General features: G+C 42.9%; 3 annotated features.

Moving 5' to 3' along the window:
• Positions 12,889 to 13,070: a silencer, noted in NCBI's record as "fragment chr2:72124986-72125167 (GRCh37/hg19 assembly coordinates)". NCBI's record gives its function as "represses an EF-1alpha promoter that drives an FKBP-Casp9 reporter gene in an ReSE screen in HepG2 liver carcinoma cells {active_cell/tissue: HepG2}" and the evidence as "EXISTENCE:reporter gene assay evidence [ECO:0000049][PMID:32094911]".
• Positions 16,584 to 17,083: an enhancer, noted in NCBI's record as "H3K4me1 hESC enhancer chr2:72120973-72121472 (GRCh37/hg19 assembly coordinates)". NCBI's record gives its function as "activates a minimal SCP1, AML or CMV promoter by ChIP-STARR-seq in primed H9 embryonic stem cells {active_cell/tissue: H9 hESC(primed)}" and the evidence as "EXISTENCE:reporter gene assay evidence [ECO:0000049][PMID:30033119]".
• Positions 17,084 to 17,585: an enhancer, noted in NCBI's record as "H3K4me1 hESC enhancer chr2:72120471-72120972 (GRCh37/hg19 assembly coordinates)". NCBI's record gives its function as "activates a minimal SCP1, AML or CMV promoter by ChIP-STARR-seq in primed H9 embryonic stem cells {active_cell/tissue: H9 hESC(primed)}" and the evidence as "EXISTENCE:reporter gene assay evidence [ECO:0000049][PMID:30033119]".

Here is an 18,703-nt window from a genome sequence, read left to right as displayed (position 1 = left end):
GTGAAAGCCTATAGATGATGAATTATCTCAGTTTTTCTCTGAAAATGACTTAACTGTACTTACATTTAAAAAATAAATATTAACTGGATTTAAAATTCTAGGTTGACACCTTGCTGCAGTGCTTTATTTTTTGTTGTTTTTGTCTTGGTTTGTTTTGTTGAGACAGTGTCTCACTCTGTTGCATAGGCTGGAGTGTAGTGGCACCATCTCAGTTCACTGCAACCTCTGCCTCCCAGGCTCAAAGGATCCTCCCACCTCAGCCTCCAGCTATTTTGTTGTTGTTGTTGTTGTTATATTTTTTGCCATGTTGCCCAGGCTGGGCTTGAACTCCTGCACTGAAGCAATCCACCTACCTTGGCCTCCCAAAATGCTGAGACTACAGACTTGAGCCACGGTGCTCAGCCATTGTTTCAGTGCTTTAAAGATTTCATTCCATTGTTTTCTGGCTTGCATAGTCTTTGATGAGAAGTCTGTGATAAGCTTATATTTATCTGTATATTATGTTTCTTTTTCCACTGGCTGCCTTTAAGATTTTCTCTTTAAAAAGTCATTAAGAAATCTGAAAACCCATGAAAGCTCTTTTTGGAAATTTTTGTAATGGTGTGGTTCTCTTTGTGTTACTCCTTCTTGGGGTTTGTTGACCTTTCTGGGTCTGTGGGTTTATAATTTTCATCAAATTTAAATTTTTTTCGGTCAGTTTCTTCGAGTACTTTTATGCACCTCTCCTGTTTCCTTCTGACACTCCAATAACAAATGGGTACGCATTATACCCTTGATCCCTTGATATTGTCTCACACATCACTGAGACTCTGCTCATTTTTTCCCAGTTTTCTCTCTGTGCTTCATTTGTATAGTTTCCATTGTTATGCCTTCAAGCTCACTAATTTTCTTCTGCTGTTTCTAATATTCTATTGATTCCACCCAGTGTAATTTTCATTTCAGGTATGTGTATGTTTGTGTATGTATGTATGTATATGTGTATATATATATCTTCCATTGTCTCCACTCACTATTTTCATATCTCTTGTTTAATTTTTTGAATATATTCATAATAGCTGCTTAAGCAACCTTTGACAATTCCATCATTGATACCTTCTGTATCTTTAAACCTATGTCACCAGTGAGTGATTTTTTTTCTGGTTATGGATTACATTTTCTGCTTCTTTTCATGTCTAAAAATTTTTAATTGGAGGCTGGGCAATGTATCAATGCTGATACATTGTTGAGAGTCTGGATTTTGTTGTCTTCCTTTAAATAGCATTGAGCTTTGTTATAGTGGGTAGTTAAGGTACTAGTGGTTCAGTTTTATCTTTTCACAGACTATTTTTAAGCATTTTTCTGCTGGGCCTTTAGGGCTAACTTAGTCCTACTACTAAGATGTGATTCTTTTAGGATCTCTACTGAATGCTTTGCATGTTCAATAAGGAATCTCCCATCCCTGATCTCTTAGAATTGTTCAGCTTGTGGCTCCCTGATTATTCTTTTCCCAGTCTCATGAAGCTTCATTCTATAACCACCTTAGTATTTCATCAAAGACCAAAGGGGACCTTTATGTATATCTTTCAAGCTCTTTTGCTACATGGCTTACTACACCTGGTAATTATTTCCTCAAATTTGTGAGACTGCCATTCACATCTTGGAATCCCTTCCCTGTTCGATGGTCTGGAGAGCTTACAGGCCCAGTGCAATCATAGGGATCTCGTCATTTGTTTTTCTTTCTTCAGGAACCATAATGCTCAGCTGCCTATTGTCCAATATCTAAAAATAGTCATTTCATTTATTTCAACTTCTAATTGTTTAGGTTGGAGGGCAAATCCTATCTCTGTTAATTCATCATCACTAGAAGTAGAAGAGTAGATACTCTTTTCATTCTTGACTTGGATAACTACAAAAATATAGATTCAAATTAATTGCAGAAATTAGTTTTGCTGACTTTGCTGATATTTACTGTAAATATTACCAAAATACAGAAGTTATGACAAAATAACTACGGTTAACATTTTGGCATGTATCCTCACAACTTTTGTCAAGATTTGGAGACATTAATAGATGTGAATTTTACAAATTTAATTTTGTGGTAGCCATGAAAACCTTGGGAATTAAACAAAATTCAAATAAGTAGTATAGATGTTAGAATGGAGTTAGTAATGTTATCATTACTTACAGATAATACGATTACCTATTTAGAAAGCCCAAGAAAACAAGCTAAAAATGACTAGAAAGATTGTTCAAAAATAAGATTTTTGTATGTCAATAGTAACTAAAAATTAATGGGAAAATGATTTAATACAATAGTAACAAATATGTAATGTCATACATATTTAGGTTTATAGAAATAGACAGGAATAGATTGTATGAATAAAATTACAAAGCTCATTTGAATGATAAAATTTTAAAAAATAACTAATGAGACTATTACGTTCTCATTTGGGAACATTTAATACTGGGAAGTTTCCAATTTCTCACAAATTATAAATTTTTTGTGATCTTCATAGAAATCCATATGGATTTTTTTTAGAGCTAGGCAAATTGATTCTACAAGTCACTGAAAGAATAAATTTTGAGAAGATTTAGGGAATTTTTGAAAAAGGAGAGTAATGAAATGGGAGTTTTCCTACCAAATATTAAAATGTATAATAAAGTTGCAATAATCACAATCATATGGAACTAGGACAGGAATAGACAAAACACATCAGTTGGAACAAAACACAAAGCCCAGAAAAAGTCCAGAAATATTCAAGAATGTATTGCAAGATCAAAGTGGCATTTCAGTGGGGAAAAGATACATTTATTCAGTAAATACACTTGAATTTACTGTTTAATATATGTGGGACTGGAGTATATGCGAGGAGTTAAAATATGATTTATATCAGAATAAATCCAGGTAGATGTAAATATGAAGCTAATCAAGGGGGTGGGAAACAGGTACTCATACATTTTTTGTGAAGAGAAAATTTGTGCAACTCTTTGGATGGCTATTTGGCAATATCTAGTAAAATAAAAGGATGCTCATACGCTTTGGCCCTACCATTTCTTTTCTGTTAATTCATCTGGCAATTCATGTAGATATACCGGTCCATGTGCATAAATAAATATCTTTGGACAAGAATATTAATGGCAGTGTTATTTATGATATTATAACAAGATACTAGCATGGAAATCTTCTTGGCTCAGGACACCACAGTGAATGTGTCATAGGATCCCTCTGTTACTGTAGATGGACAAAGGAATTTGGCCTAGAATCTGTGCAATGATTCTTGGGTTACTCAGCCAGATCAAGGATGAAAACAAGGTCAGAGACCGCCAGGGTGGGAGACTTGGAGAAGGAATTCTTTAGAGCTATTGTTTTTATGGGGTCCTCACTGTACCTTTAGGGGAGCAGCGTGGGAGCCTACCATGACAACTAGGAAGGGGGGTTGCATAGAATCTCTTGGATAAATTCAAGAGGAACTTCCAGCAGTGAGAGACACAGAAGACCAATGCCCACGCTGGACTTGAGGGTGCTAAACTGGCCTGGGGCCAGGGATTGACTCTTCTATGAAATCCAGAAGACAAAGAAGGGCTGCCTTGTACTTTTAGTGGCAGAGCCCTGCAATCACTGCTGTGTTGGGACCAGGGACACCTCGGTCAAGGGACAGATGAGTGTTTCCAAGACCAGATATGGGCCATGTGCCCAAGGTAGGACCAGCCCGAGGTTTCCCTGGGTCTGGTTCAATAAGACCAAGAAGAATTTGGTGGAGCAAGGTTGGAGATACCTCCACATGCCCATGCCAAGGAGTCCCAAAAGACCACCAGGAACAGGTCAGAAGAAGGAGATAGCTCCACATGCCCATGCCAAGGAGTCCCAAAAGACCATCAGGAACAGATCAGAAGAACTGTAGGGAAGAGCTGCCTCCAAAACTCCCAAAAAGCTCCATAAGAGAAGGAGGCAGCATGAGCCATCCATCAGAAGCAGAGAATTCAGAATCATTCAGCCAAATGACAACAACGATTTCTTCCCTTCACCTTTCCTTTCTCACTCCCCAACAGCCCCACCTTGACCCTCACTGGGTAATGGAACAGCAACTAGTGGGGGGATGATGCAGGGAAGAGAGGCAGGTAGACAAGGCCCTTTCCCCACTGCAGGTTTCCTGCCAGAGGGGGAAAGATGTAACAGTAGGTCAAGTTCAGTGTTTTATTACATAGGAATAGATCTAACTTCTGAATTGATGCTGTGTTTTTGACTAAAAGGGAAAAATCATGAGAAAAGCCAATATTTTCAAACAAAGGCAGGAAGTATTATCCTAAAGAAATACTTGTAAAGCAATGATAGAAGAAAAAGTTGTCTTTTGATGATGTCATGAGTCATGCTTGTTCAACATACCAGTTACAGCAGTAAAGCACCGGACAAACTTAAAGGCCCACTACAAAGGACTGAATAAATCCACTGCTGTGTCCATATAATAAAATATGATGCTGTTCTTCAAAATATGAAGGAAGACCTTTATGCATCACTGATGAGGAATGATCTCCAAATAAAGTGTTCAGTGGAGACAAAAACATATAAAACACTTTATATAGTGCATCATTCTATGTGGAAAAAAAATCTGAAAATTACCTAAGAAACTGGTCATCCAATTTGCCTCTGAAGAAGATAAATTGGAGACTGGAGAGCAGGCATGAGAGGGACATCTCTTTTCTACTATGTACATTTGTTACATATTAAAATAAATCGTAAATTGAATTATGAAAGATTGAAAAACAAATGGGTGAATTTTACTTATTGAAATAAAACCTGGGCAGCTTACAGTTCAGTCTCAACATTGAATAAGAGTCAGTCTATACAGAATAACAGTCAAACCGTCATACAGAAAAACAGTTGAAAGACCTTTAAATCTTTTCTCTCTCTAGTAAACACCAATGCGCTGTAGTGATAGTATACACATGCATAAGAGAATAACATTCTTGATGAACCACAAAACATTTAAAAAACTTTCCCCACATCTCTGCGATTCTCTGTGTCCTCCACATGCATAGCAACTGGTAGCTACAAAATTCTGTCCTTATTCCACCCTTAAACTTCCAACAAAAACTTCTGAAACTGAGAATTCATGGCTCAAGTCTGTCTTCTTCTTCCCTCTCCTGTAGATAGACTTTTTTCTTTTACTAGAATTATTTCTCTTTCTATTTAAAGTCTCCCTACCTCTTTTCTAGCTCCTTCTGATTCTGCAGCTCTTTCTACCAATTCTTTGTAAACATGATAAAGAAACAGGAATCTAAGTAAACAGATACGGAATAGTCTTTGGCACAGAGAAGGATGGAAAAAGCTATCAACTATTTATATATTGTCCCTCTGACATTTATGCCATCTTGGGTGGGGCATACCTTTCCAAACACAAAACTAAATATAAGTGGGAAAATGTTATATTTGACTACATTTTAAAAAAACAACTTCGGAAAAAAAAACCTGCACAGGAAATTTTTTGATCATGCATCAAGACACCATAAAGCTCTGATTCATATAATGTGGTATCGGAGGAACTGGCAAGGAGAGCAGTCGGGCAGGACAGAGATCACAGAAACAGAATCACTCAGATACAGAAAGTTGATATGCCAGAAAAGGCAGTAACTTACCAGTGGCAAAGGATGAACTATTTCATAAATGGTTCTGGGAGAGCAGGCTATCCATCTGGAAAGAATAAAATTAAATCCCTATGTCACACCATATAAAAGATAAATTCTAAGTATATTAATGATCTAAATATGAAAAGCAAAAGTTTTTAATTTTTAAAAGGAAGTATAGACTATCTTTGTGATCTTTGGGTAAGGAAAGACGTATTTAAAACAAACACACACAGCCCAAACTCTGAAGAAGAAGACTGATAAGTGAGATTACATTAAGGTTTGAGACAAAGACACCATGCAAATTTATTAAGCCAACCAGAGACAGTAGAACAATCTGCAACATGTATAGTTATAAAGGAATACTGCAATTCAATGGGAAGGAAAAATAGAATTGGCAAACCATGTAAGGATTTGCCTTAGAGGGAACCCTGATGGCCAATGAGTGCATGAAAAGAGAACCAAAGTCACTTGCAATGAGGGAGATGTAAAAATAAAACAATGAGATACCACTTTTCACCCATAACATTGTCAAAATGTAAAGTCTGATAATACTAGAAATTGGGGTGAAAAAGACAGTATTCGTAAGAGAGTAAAATGGTACCACTGCTTGTGGAAACTATTTGGCACTATCTAGGGACTCTGAAAATGTGTACATAGTTATGCAGACAGTTCACGTATTGGCATATGCCTGGAGAAACTCTTGCATAAAGAGTCATGTACAATAATGTTCATTGCAATGTTGTTCTTCTAATAATAATTTAGAAAAAACCCTATGTGCCTAATACAGGAAAAGGGATAAATTGTGGTACGCTTATAAAATAGAGTATAATGCCTCCATTAAAATGAATGAATTAAAGCTGATATTTCAATATGAATACATTTCTAAAACATAATGTTGAACAAAACAAATTACGGAAGGACACAGATTACAGTATGATTCCATTTATGTAATGTTTCAAAACATGAAACACAAAAAACAGTTATCATATACATCAATTATGGATACACATATATATTTTACTGCTATTAAAACATGCATGGGAATGATAGACAAAAATATTAGGATAGTGATTAGATTTGGAAGGGAGTAATGGAAATACAATCATGAGGAAGAACAGGGAGTACATCAACTATAATGGAAGTGTTTTGCTGCTTTTTTTAAAAGTTTTTTTCTGAGATGAATTGACGAGTTCTTGATATTTCATAAGACCATGTGACAGAATACACAGATATTTACTATGTGATTTTATATGGCTATTATGTCATAATGTAAACTGTGAAAAATATTTGCCACATGTCTAACAAAAAGGGGTTAATATTGTTTATATGCATGGAATGCTGAAAATTTAATAACAAAATTACATAATCACCCCTCTTAAAATCTAAATCTAGACAACTATGTAAGTTTGTCTCAAAAGAAGGATACAATTTCCAACTGTATTCAATCTGCCTAGTAATCAAAGAAACTCACATTGAAATAAGATGCCTCTTTTTTTTTCAGATGGGCAAAGATGAAAAAGAATGATAAAATCAGTTAGTGAGAGCGAAGATGAGGCAAGCTCCAACAAAACGAACAAAATTATAAATCCCCTTATAACTGTTGGTAGGACAATATGGCGTAAATCAAATATTTTTTAGAATATGTATATCATTTGACTCACCAATTTCATTTCTAGGAATTTATCCTAACTGGGACAGGGCAAGGACACAGTAATTAGACTATTCTAAAAAGGAAGTATATTGTAAGTCTATTTAGAATACTAAAAATTGGAGACAATTTCAATGTCCTAAAATAGAAGCTTAATTGAATAAATTACAATTCAAAGACATAACAGCAATATGAAAGTATGGTATAGATATATTTATGTTCCTGAAAATGCTTTCATAATATAGAAAGTTTAAAATCCACGTTACAAATAACGTCTACTTTTATATCTATAAATTCATATTTTAAAATATATACACATATAAATTTGCATAGAAAATAATCGAAAAAGAAAATACAAATGTTAAGATAGATGGTTGCATTTCAAGTCAGTTTAATTAAAAAAATTTTGAACTATGTACATATAGTACTTGTGTGCAAAAAGGAGACAAAACTAGCACAAGGCAAATATGTGTTCTTCCTCTTGAGGGTCATGCTTTCCTCTTTGTTGGTCTAAATATTGAAGTGGAAGAGAAAAATGTCACTATTTGCAGATTATAATATTGTTTACCTAAGAAAACCAAAGCAAAGCAATTAGAAAAATATTAGAAACAGAAGGGACAGTGGCTTATTAACAAAAATAGATACATAGATCTCAAATCTTTCCTATACACTAAAAATAACAAACTAGGAGGCATAGTGAAGAAAAAAAATGTATCACCAATAGCAATAAAAGCCATAACATATCTAGCAATAAGCTTAATAAGCACAATGAGATCCATGTAAACACACGTGCACACATCCTACACACACATAACCCCTCATACAGGATCACATACATGCTTCCCCATGCATACCCTTCCATACACACAACCATACCAGAAAGAACTTTAAAAAACATTTCAAACAAAACTTTAATAAGTAGACATATGTCCTTTGATGGGAAGTTAGTTTTAATATTATAAAGATATTTTGGAAGAACTGACATCAATAAATTTAATACATTCCAATCAAAATCTCAGTGCAGTTTTGGGAGGTGGAGCACTTGTCAAATTGACTCTATAATTATCCTAAAAGCATAAACTCATGACAATATTGAAAGAGAAGAAAAATGGCTTGTACTTTTAGATATTAGAATCTACCTCAAAAATATAACAATCAAAAAATTGGCTGGAGTCTAGAGTAGAATAAAAAACTCAGAAACTCAATTATATGGTGGAATTTAGTACATATGTAAAGGTGTTATTTAAAGTCAGTAGAAAACTTATTTTAAAAAACTGGTGCTAGGACAATTGATGAAACACTGAAAAAAAAGTGAAATTAGATCCCAATCTCACAAGACATGTTCTAAAACCTCCAATTATATTTGAAATCATAAATTACCTAGAACAAAATTTAGGTATTTATCTCATCTCAGGATTGGAAGGCCTTTCTGAACACTCCCACAGGGCAGAATCCAAAAAGAAAGAGATTGCTAGATTTAACACTAGAAAAATACGTTAGCACATTAACCCAACCACCATTTTTACAGGTGTGTTATCTAGGAAGCTGACTCTGAGGTGGAAATCAGAGGGTAGCAGGTTGATCAGAGGGTGCTCTTGGGAACATCACATGTGAAAAGGAAGGAAGAGTGAAGGAAGGGAGGGAGGGAGGGAAGGAGGAAGGAAGGAAGGAAGGAAGGAAGGAGGGAGGGAGGGAGGGAAGAAGGAAGGAAAGGAAAGGAAAGGAAAGGAAAAGAAAGGAGGAAGGAAGGAAATGAAAGGAAAGGAAGGATTGGGCAGTGGGAAGTTGAGCTGTGTTGTATCTCAATGAAGGCTTCAGCTGACCCCACAGGGAGCTCTGAAGCTGGTATGGCTCTTCAGAGTAGTCCTGAATTGGGGGAAGGGCCCTGGCCTTTACATTCTTGGGTGACCATAAATTGGATATGTGGGTTCCTCCAGGAATGCAGGGTTGTGGTGGTTTAAAAATATGTCCACAAATTGGGAAGCTCTAATTCCTCTCCCTTTGCAGGAGGACTGGACGTCTTTATGAGTCACCTCTATCAAATAGCATGTGGCAGAAATGATGGCATGTGACTTCCAAGGCTAGGTCATAAAAGACATAGCAGCTTCTTCCTGGACTTCCCTTTTGAAGGAAGAAAGGCTGCCATGTTGTGGGGACACACAGGTAGCCCTCCATAGAGCCCCTTGGGTGAGAAACCAAGACCTTGTGCCTATAGCTATTTGAGTGAGCACCTTTAAAAGCCAATCCTCCAGCCCTAGTCAAACCTTTAGATGACAGCAGCCCTGGCTAACTCTTGACTATTACCTCATGAGAGACCAGAACCACCCAGCTAAGCTGTTCCCATGTTCCCAACCCACAGACTTCAAGACAACAAATGTTTTAGGCTTCTGCTTGGGAATAATTTGTTACATTGGATGGCTATTACACGTGTGATCTTGAGCAAGTTGGCTAACCACTGAGAACTTTTTGTGAGCAGCGCTCTCTGCAACTGGGTGAGCAAGCTCTGCAGTCCCAGAAGGAGATCTGGGAGGCGTATCACAGTGTCCACCACAACCACAGAGAAAATGCATAGCCTAACGGTAAACTGGGTTCAAAATTATTTGCATAATCCAAATATCAACTCCTGGTTCTCCTAGGCATCTTGATGGTTTGGGTTTATCAGTTAAGGGAGCAAGGGAAACCCAAGGATAACTGGCTCTGATGTCCCCCAGCTTCATGGCTTGATGTCACTTCATGTCATCTGGGGTGCAGAAATCAGACCAAAAGAATCACATTTGCACCAAGCCTCCAGTGGGCTTCTCTGAAGGTTTGAGGGTCCTGGGGAAGCATCATATTCTGGAACTTGCTCATGTTTTTCTTTCACTCTTACCTCTTCCTCTCTCATTTCCATCTCTCCTCCTCACTCTGCCTTCCAGGAGTCCTCCACTTCCAAATTCTTCCCTTTCTATTATGCAGAGCAGTACAGCTCTTCCCTGCTTTGTCTCATAAGCAAAACTACCCCAATCTTTGAAGCTCAGCAAAACTTAGAGCCTGCAGTTAACAGTCGCCACCGACCCCAGAGGGCAGTTGATTCTTAGTACATTTGTAACAAATGACAAACAAAGGATCAATATATTCCATTTTAGAGTAATAATTCTCACTTGAACATTGATTATGTGTTCAACATTATGCTAAACATTACAACAATTTTCTCACTTAATCCTCTCAACAACTGCATGAAGAAAGTACTATTATTATCCCCATTTCAAATGTGAGGAAACTGAGGCACAGAGAGGTTAAGTAACTCACCCAAAGTTACATAGCTAATGAATAGTGGAGATAGATTTTGAACCCAAACTGAGTAGCTGCAGAGCATAGTCTCTTAACCACTGTGCAATATAATCTCCTAAATGTATTTACTGCTAGGGAATTATACCTGAGCAGCAAGAATGAGAATCTTGCATAAAGGACAAGACAGTGAAACAGGCAACAATAGTGAAAGCAGTTGTGGGGGTGGAGAGAAAGAGAGAGAGAGAGAGAATGCAAATGCGAGAGGACTTACATCAATCAATAAGAAAAGATGAAACACTTCAGTAGAAAAATAAGAAGTGGGTCTGCACAGTACTTAGGTGGTTGGAGGTCAGCTGCCCTGGTAGGAAAGGCTGACACTGGGAGCTGGTGCCAAGCAAAGGGTGATCTGGGGCTGCAGGATACCCTGCCTAGGTCCCAGTGCCCAGGACCACTCTTGGCCATGCTCCTCTCCCAAACCTGGGAAGTAGTTTCATGTGTGTGCAGCCGCAGAGCAGGTGAACTTCCTAAAGAGCACGTTTTCACTCTAACCCTAATGATTGAAAGAGAAAAATGGTATCAGAACTCAGAATTTAGGGTTGACCTAGATATTTGAAACATTTCATCCCAGCCTTTCGGGGAGTCCACTTGTCTTAGTCCATTCTCATACTACTGTAAATACATATCCGAGACTGGCTAATTTATAAAAGGAGGAGGTTTAATTGACTCACAGTTCCACATGGTTGGGGAGGCCTCAGGAAACATACAATCACGGCGGAAGGGGAAGCACACAAATCTTACATGGCGGCAAGAAGGAAGAGAAGTGTGAGCACAGGAAAAACTGCCACTTTTAAAACCCTCGGATCTCGTGAGAATTCACTCACCATCACGAGAACAGCATGGGGGAAACTGCTCCTATGATCCAATCACCTCCCACCAGGTTCCTCCCTTGACGTGTGGGGATGACAGTTTGAGATGAGATTTGGGCGGAGACACAGAGCCAAACCATATCAGCGCTCTTTCTTCTTCTCCGTCCTTTCCTTCTCTGTGTCCTCGTCATTTGTTAATCCCTCCAATGGTCCATCCATCAGCCTGCCACGGTGTCTGAAACACCGCCGTTGGCACTTTTTCCCCCAGAGCCGTGGAGCCCCGGTCCCCGTGCCTGGATGTATCTGCTTCTCCCTTCATCAAGTCAGGTTCTGCCAGGCCCCCAGATCCAGCCCAAGTCCTGCCTCATCGATGAAGCCACCTTTGAATGCTCCCCTCACCTCCCCTGAGCAGGCAGTCAACTCACTGCCCCGTGTAGTGCCGGGCGGTTTAATCAGTGCTGACTATGCTAAGTGGTTTCATGTGTGCGCAGCCGCAGAGCAGGTGAACTTCCTAAAGAGCACGGCCTCATCTCTTCCCTCCGTTCCCTTACCGTGCAGCTGAACACAGGGCTCGAAGACAAGAGATGTGACCTTGGGTGAGGGTGCAGGTCCTACTCGAGATCTACCCACTCAGAATCATGGGACATGGGGCCAGAGAATCCAGTCTGACACCAGCCCCTCGGGTAATGGCTGAGCCCCGTTAGGGTTTAGAACCACTGCAATGTACCCCACTCCTTACTTACCGCATGCATCTTGAGCCAGATGGTTTGATAGAACCTTTATTCCTTGGTGTCCTGAGTGGGGTGACGAGGAGGGACTCAGGAAGGCCACCAAAAGAGCAAAGAGATAAAGGGAGGAAGATAAAAGCTGCCCCTCAGAAATGCGCCTGAGGCCAGGGGCGTACAGGGGTTTCAGCGGGGTGGACGCTCAGTGAGGCTGCGGGAAGCCTGGAGGTGGGGGCTGGATGCCTCCCCACTTTATGGGCAGCCCTTCGCTTCTGCCCTGGAGGTGAGGAAAAGCTTTCAGGCCCCAGTGGAGTCCTTTGGGCAGCCCCTAGCTGACCAGGGAAGGCTACCGACAAGGGGGAGTTAGTTACCTGGGGGAGAGGGGTTCAGGAGAGAGAGTGAACAAAAGAGACTGAGTCGGGGCCAGATTTGTGAGGATGGAGACAGTGTTCTCCACCTCTCTGGGGAATGGGACCTGAAGAAGTAGAATCAGATATAAGGGAACGTTTTCTGGATGTAAAATAAGTAATGGACAAAGAGAGCTGGGCCAGCTTCAAGAAGAGATGGACCAGCTTCCATTGGTCCTGCATGGATTGCAGTTTTGCTCACAGGACACACGGAGCTGAGGAGGGAGCCTCTCCAAGTCCTCCAAGCACAAAGGCTCTAGGGTTCCTACCTGGGCGAGCAGAGGAAAGACCGGCTGCAGGCTCTGTGTATGTTTGCAGATCAGCTGGGTTTCCTACGCCCCTGCCCCTGCCCCCAAGTGCTGGGTTTGGGAAGACTCCGAGGCTGACAAATGGTTCTGAATGTGTGCTCCGGTGGGGATAAGCAGCCAGCTGCTTTTTGCCTGCTGCAGGCAAGCTGAGAGGCAATGGGGAGGCCCAGGTGTGGGAACCACCTGAGAACAGCATTAGTGCAGGGAGGGCGTCTGCTCCCACCCCTCCTGCTGCCCTCAGCTTGGCCTCTGGCCTAGTCAAATGTGCTTATTTAGGGGCTAATTTAGAACAGTTGCAGACAGAATTGAGAAAAGGAAGGCATAGTGGGTTGGTGCAATCAGGGAAGGCTTTCTGGAGAAGACCAAACTGGGTCTTGAGGTTCTAGCCAGGTTTGATGTGCGGATAGAACTGCTCATATTTTGTTGTTTGTCAGGTTCCTAGAAAGCAAGCCTTAGAAAAGCCACTCTATACTGTGTCACTATATCCTTATTCCCACAGACTTTTCTTATCACACAGAAGTCCCGACAGTTTTTGGGTGGAAGGGAAATTGGAGTAGGTTTTGCTTCTGATTAGTCCCCAGGCCTGGTTTTAGGGCTGTGGAGGTGGAGGCCTAGGGCAGAGCTGCCTGGCTTATCTGGGGCAGGCACTGCATGGTGCAGAGCTGAGGGGTAGGGGAGCAACTTGACATTTCCAGAACAGAATATGGCTTCCTTCCTCCTGGCAGGCGGATAGTAGGTACTTAGCTTGTTCCTGGGCAGGGACCATGGCAACAGGCCCAGTGTTTCCCACGTGCTGCATGGCCAGGGCCTGGGCCTGCCCTTGGCAGTGCCTGGTGCTCACGGCCACGTGGAGCTGGCTGTGAGGAGGGTTCTGGGCCCCTCCCTGGGATGGGCTGGCACGGAGGATGCTGGGCTGGCAAGCGGGGAGACCACCTCTGTCCCCAGCACACCCTGCAGCCAGAACATCTGCCTACCTCCTGAAGGGGGTGTTCATGGCTTAATGAGGAACTTGCTAAGCATGTCTCGGGAGACCCCAAACCACATATGGTGGAACTATAGCCACATCTTGACCCTGAATTCAGACTGATGCTAACCGACCTCACATTGACCACAACCCTGCTTCAGGCTGGTGACTGGGGGCCTGGCTTAGCATTACGGGCACTAGAACCACACATTCCTTACTATGTGCCAGGAACTAGTGTGAGCACTTTGTGCATATCAACTTATCTAAATCCACACAGCAACTCAGCAAAGCAAGTCCTACTCTCACCCGAGGCACAGTAAAGTAAAATAATGTACCCCAAATTACACAGTGAGCAGGTGGTGGAGCAGGGCTGGCGCTCAGGTGGCCTGGCACTGGAGGCTGCTCCTTAATCATCACAGCATACCCTCTCCATCCTGTCCCTGCTGCTGGGGAGGAAGGGCAGAGCTCGTGCTGGCTGACAGATGGTCTGGGGCCTCATATTCCTGGTTAGATGAGAACACACTCACACTTGTCACCCAAAAGATGATAGAAGAGGGGCAGAGCAAAACTGGAAATCATCTGGCCCCCAAGCCTCGTCGCTGGGCCTCACAAAAGCCCACACTATCCAGGGGAGGTTTGAAGACAGCAGCTGCTGGCAATTAATTCTAGACCCCTGGACATCTGCCAGCTTCCTGCTCGACCCAAGACTTGCCCTCCTCCAACCATCCATCCATCCACCCATCCATCATTACTGTGTGCCCAACTCTGTGCTGGGAATGGGGGCAGCACAGTGACAGATAATGCTCCCTATGTGTCCTAACAGTCTGATGGAGGTGACAATTAAATCTATGTATGTATATATGTATCTATCTGTCTGTCTATCTATCTATCTATCTATCTATCTGTCTGTCTATCTATCTATCTATCTATCTATCTATCTATCTATCTATCATCATCATCATCTATCTATATATCAGTCTGGCCTGGGGGAGAGGAGAGTTGATTGGGGAAGCCTTCCTGGTACCTTAGAAGGAGCTGGGAAGAGGTGGCAACTTAGCTCAGTGTTGAAGAAGACAGGAGAGTTAGCCAGGTGTGGGGCTGGGGCCCTGAGCAGTGCAGGAGGAGGCTGCTGGAACAGAGACTCTGGGCTGAGGCAGCAGAGCAGGGCTGTTCAAGAGTTGCCATTTGGGGTACAGGGGGTGAGGGGCCTGGCAAGGGGAACTGCAGAGTTAGGTGTAGCTAAGTTCCTAGGAGGCCCTTGGAAAATAATCTGGAACTTGCTCCCCCAGGCTGAGACAACTGGCCCTCCCCAGGGTTGTTAGAGAAGGTCCCAGGTGGGCCTCCAGAGAGTATCCTTGGGTCCTCTCTCCTGAGCCAGGAGCTCTCTCAGCCGCACCCTAGGTTCTGTGAATGGCCAGGCCTGCTGAGGGGTCTATGGGCCGCATCTCATGAGTCCGCCCCATGAGTCACTCAGGTGCTCAAGGCAAGTTTTCCTGGGAGACAGGAGGCCATCCGTGAGCCCTGGGGGTGCCGAGCATTTTGGCAAAAAGGTGCTAGGCTGCTGGGTGACCAACCTGTCTGGTTGAAAAAGGGCCTGTCAGCCAAACCGCAGGTTGCATATGGATTGGTTGCTGGCTGAGCCCTTAGGCTTATCTCCAAATTCACTGACTCCATGCCCTACGGCGTTAGCCCAGTACCCTACAGCCGGAGTGAGGTGGCCAGCCAGCCACAGAGGAGCCAGGGGCAGTTTCCTCAGCTCTTCTGCTGTGAGGAAGTGTCCACTGCAGTGGACTGTTGTTCGTAAGAATAGCTGAGGGACTGGAAGAGACAAAAAATAGCAATCCCTATCAGCACCAGTGACTCTCTCCAGGAGAGACCTCAGAAATGTAACAAATCAATCTTTATAAAAATTAACATTTTTGGCAGGAGATTCTTTGATACTTCCTTAAAACTGCAGAGGGAAAGGATTTTGAGGAGCAAAGAGAAAAGGAGGAGAGAGGGAGGGAGAGAGGAAAGGAAGAGGGAAAGCAGTGGGGCCTTCCTGGGAACCAGACAGTCTAACTTTTGTAGGTCCCACCCCAGAGTATATAAAAGAATTAAAATGCACCCACATCCCACATTAAATGGAATTATTTTGCTATAAAATACTTGGAAAGAATTTTTATAATTTTGCTTTTGAAATTATTTGGCTTAAGTTTACTCGCTTAGTTTACGATTGGCTCCGACTTCCCAGCCATCATCAGACCCAGACATCCGTACAAGGCGAGAAAATCGAAGGTACAAATTGTTTTCAAATGGAAAGAAACTTTCATGAGGATGAAATTGAACAATTAATAAAATTTGAATGCATTCATTAAATATTTATTATCTCCAATTTTTCTCTTTTGTATTTTGGAGCAAATTCATCTTTCCCAGGTTGTAACATTTTGTTGGGTAAAATGCTCATGGGTGCGAATCACTGTGAAGGGCTTGCAGTGGAGCCATCCTGGGGAGGGGTGAGAGGAGACGGAGCTCGCATGAGAGGGGCTCATCTCACCAGCAGGCGGGGCCACTCTCTTCTGGACAGTCCTTCCAGCTCCCTGTCTAGAGCCCACCCGCTGGACCAGGCAAGTGCTGGGGTTGGGGAAAGGGGCTGCTCAGCAGCTCCCTGCCTGGGCGCCTAGAAGGGGCACCTTGGAAAATGTGGATCCACGTGGGTCAACCTGTCACACTCAATTGTGGCCCTGGGATTCTGAGAACCTCATTCCAGGGACTTCTGAGGCCACCTGGGGCCAGGCCACTTGGAGCCTGCACTTTGTAACTTGGACTCCTTGTAACTCGCCCTGGGGAGACAGAGCGGGAAACAGAAAGCCACTTGATGGGCTCCTGCTTTCAGTCACTGTGGAGGTTTTATGATCTGAGAGGTGAACAGAGGAGCAGCCGCAGGCCATTTAATCTTGATATTCACATACTGAATGAAAATGCAGACAAACCCTTTTGTGTTTGGATTTTTTATTTTTTTAAACAAAAAAGAAATAAAACTCAGAGCTCACTTCAGGTAGTGCTGCTGGGGTTTTGCAACCTTCCAGGTGGAGCTGGAGTAGCCCCTGGTCTCCTGACAGCTTCCTGAGGAAACCTCTCAGCTTTGCCTCCGTGACCCCATCACAGACAGATGCCCCCGGAAGCCTGTCTCTAGGGCCCAGAACTGAGGCTTGGAAGCCATGCTGTCCATCTGCAGGGTGCAGGCTGCCGTCCCGGACAGCCACCCACCCACCGCAGGACGGCAGGGCCTCCCTCCCTGGCGGAACACAGCCGAGGAAGTCACATTGGCAAATGAGGTGTTGTGATTAATGGGGTCTCTTCTGCACATCAGGATGATGTATGGGCTGCGGGGAGGGGGCCTGACCACAGGACGGGGGGCCGTGCTGGGACCACACCCAGCAGAGCCCCGTCATGCTGGGACTTCGTGCTAACACATGGTAGAGATGTATTACATGTTGAATGAATGGTCTGTTGATGAAGACTTCAATATAAAGTCAGCACTGCGTTGGGGAGGCGAGTGGTGGGCTGGATGTTGTCAACTGTTTTCTGAGGCACTGGCATATGCTGAGCGAGCCCTTGACTTTGTAGTTCATTGCACTCTTCCATTTCTCCAAGCTCCCACCACAGGTGCCCTTCCTCCCCACAGCTGCCCACATTGGTGTGTGTTTAGTTAAGGTGCTGGCATAAATTAACCCCTGAATTTCAGTGCCTCATTCAACTGTAGTTCGTCTGTCACTTATACGGCCATCCAAGGTAGGAGTTATTGGCTGACCGAGGACTTTCCTCCACGTGGTGACTCAGGGATCCTGGTTTCTTCCCTCTTGCCGCTCCTTTGTCCCACAGGGTCTCAGAGGCCTCTCCATTATCCAGTGGATGGGCAGGATGTGGAGAAGGCACACTATTTTTCATAATCCCTTAGCTCAGAAGAGACCCCCATATACCATTGGTGAGAATTAGTCACATGGCACATTATACGTCTGGATGAAAGAGGGGCTGGGACTGCACCTCCCTGGACAGTTGATTTCCTGTTCTACAGAGCGGAACCATGGAGAGTGAGTCATTTCATCGTCCATTCCTCAGAGATCTTCATCAATGCCATTCTTCTCTTCAGTAGCCAAATAGCTAACACACAGATGGTGCTATGTGCCAGTCACTGCTCTTGGCGCTACGCATATTTTAAGTTATGTAATTCTCACAGCAACTCTATGGGTAGATACTACACTATTTCGTTGGTTCTAAGATGCACATTTTTTTTTTCACTTTAGCCTCTCTGAAATCAGGGCATAGTCAATGGCATCTTGCAACTGCTGTCAGCCAGGCAGAAGTCATGGTGGCTTTGTGGAAAACCACAGTTCCTGACACTTTTTTGAAAGATCAAGAAAGCTCTAGCAACTACAGATGTGGAAACTGAAGCCCAGAGAGGTTAAGTAACTTGTCCCAAATCACATCCAGTGAGTGGTGCATCCGAGATTTGAAGCCTGGCACTCTCCACTTCTCTGCTTCCAACAGATTGCAAGACCTGCTCTGAGAAAACAGCCTTTTAATCAACTTTTCTCTCCCAGGCCCCTCCTTGGGGGCTGAGAGCTCCTGGCCCTCTTGTGGAAGGTGAAGGGGAAGTATGTCTCCAAGTCCAAGATCAAGGCCCTGAAGTGTCGGAAGCCAGCTCCTGGCCAGAGTGATGGGACTGCAGTTACAAGGACATCTGCTAAAGCCAGGATGACTGCTACATTCTTGCCGGCTGATAATTTAATCTCTCAAAAAGCAACAAGTGGAACTGGCAGGATACACTGAACTCTGATCAACTAAGAGGGGCACAGTGGTAAAATGACAGGGGCGTGGGAAGAAAAGGACTTTATCATCCTTCACAATGTTACAGGAAGGGAGTGGTGG

Source organism: Homo sapiens, chromosome 2 (assembly GCF_000001405.40).
Source record: "Homo sapiens chromosome 2, GRCh38.p14 Primary Assembly".
NCBI lineage: Eukaryota > Metazoa > Chordata > Mammalia > Primates > Hominidae > Homo > Homo sapiens.
This window is presented reverse-complemented; position numbering and strand designations above follow the sequence as displayed.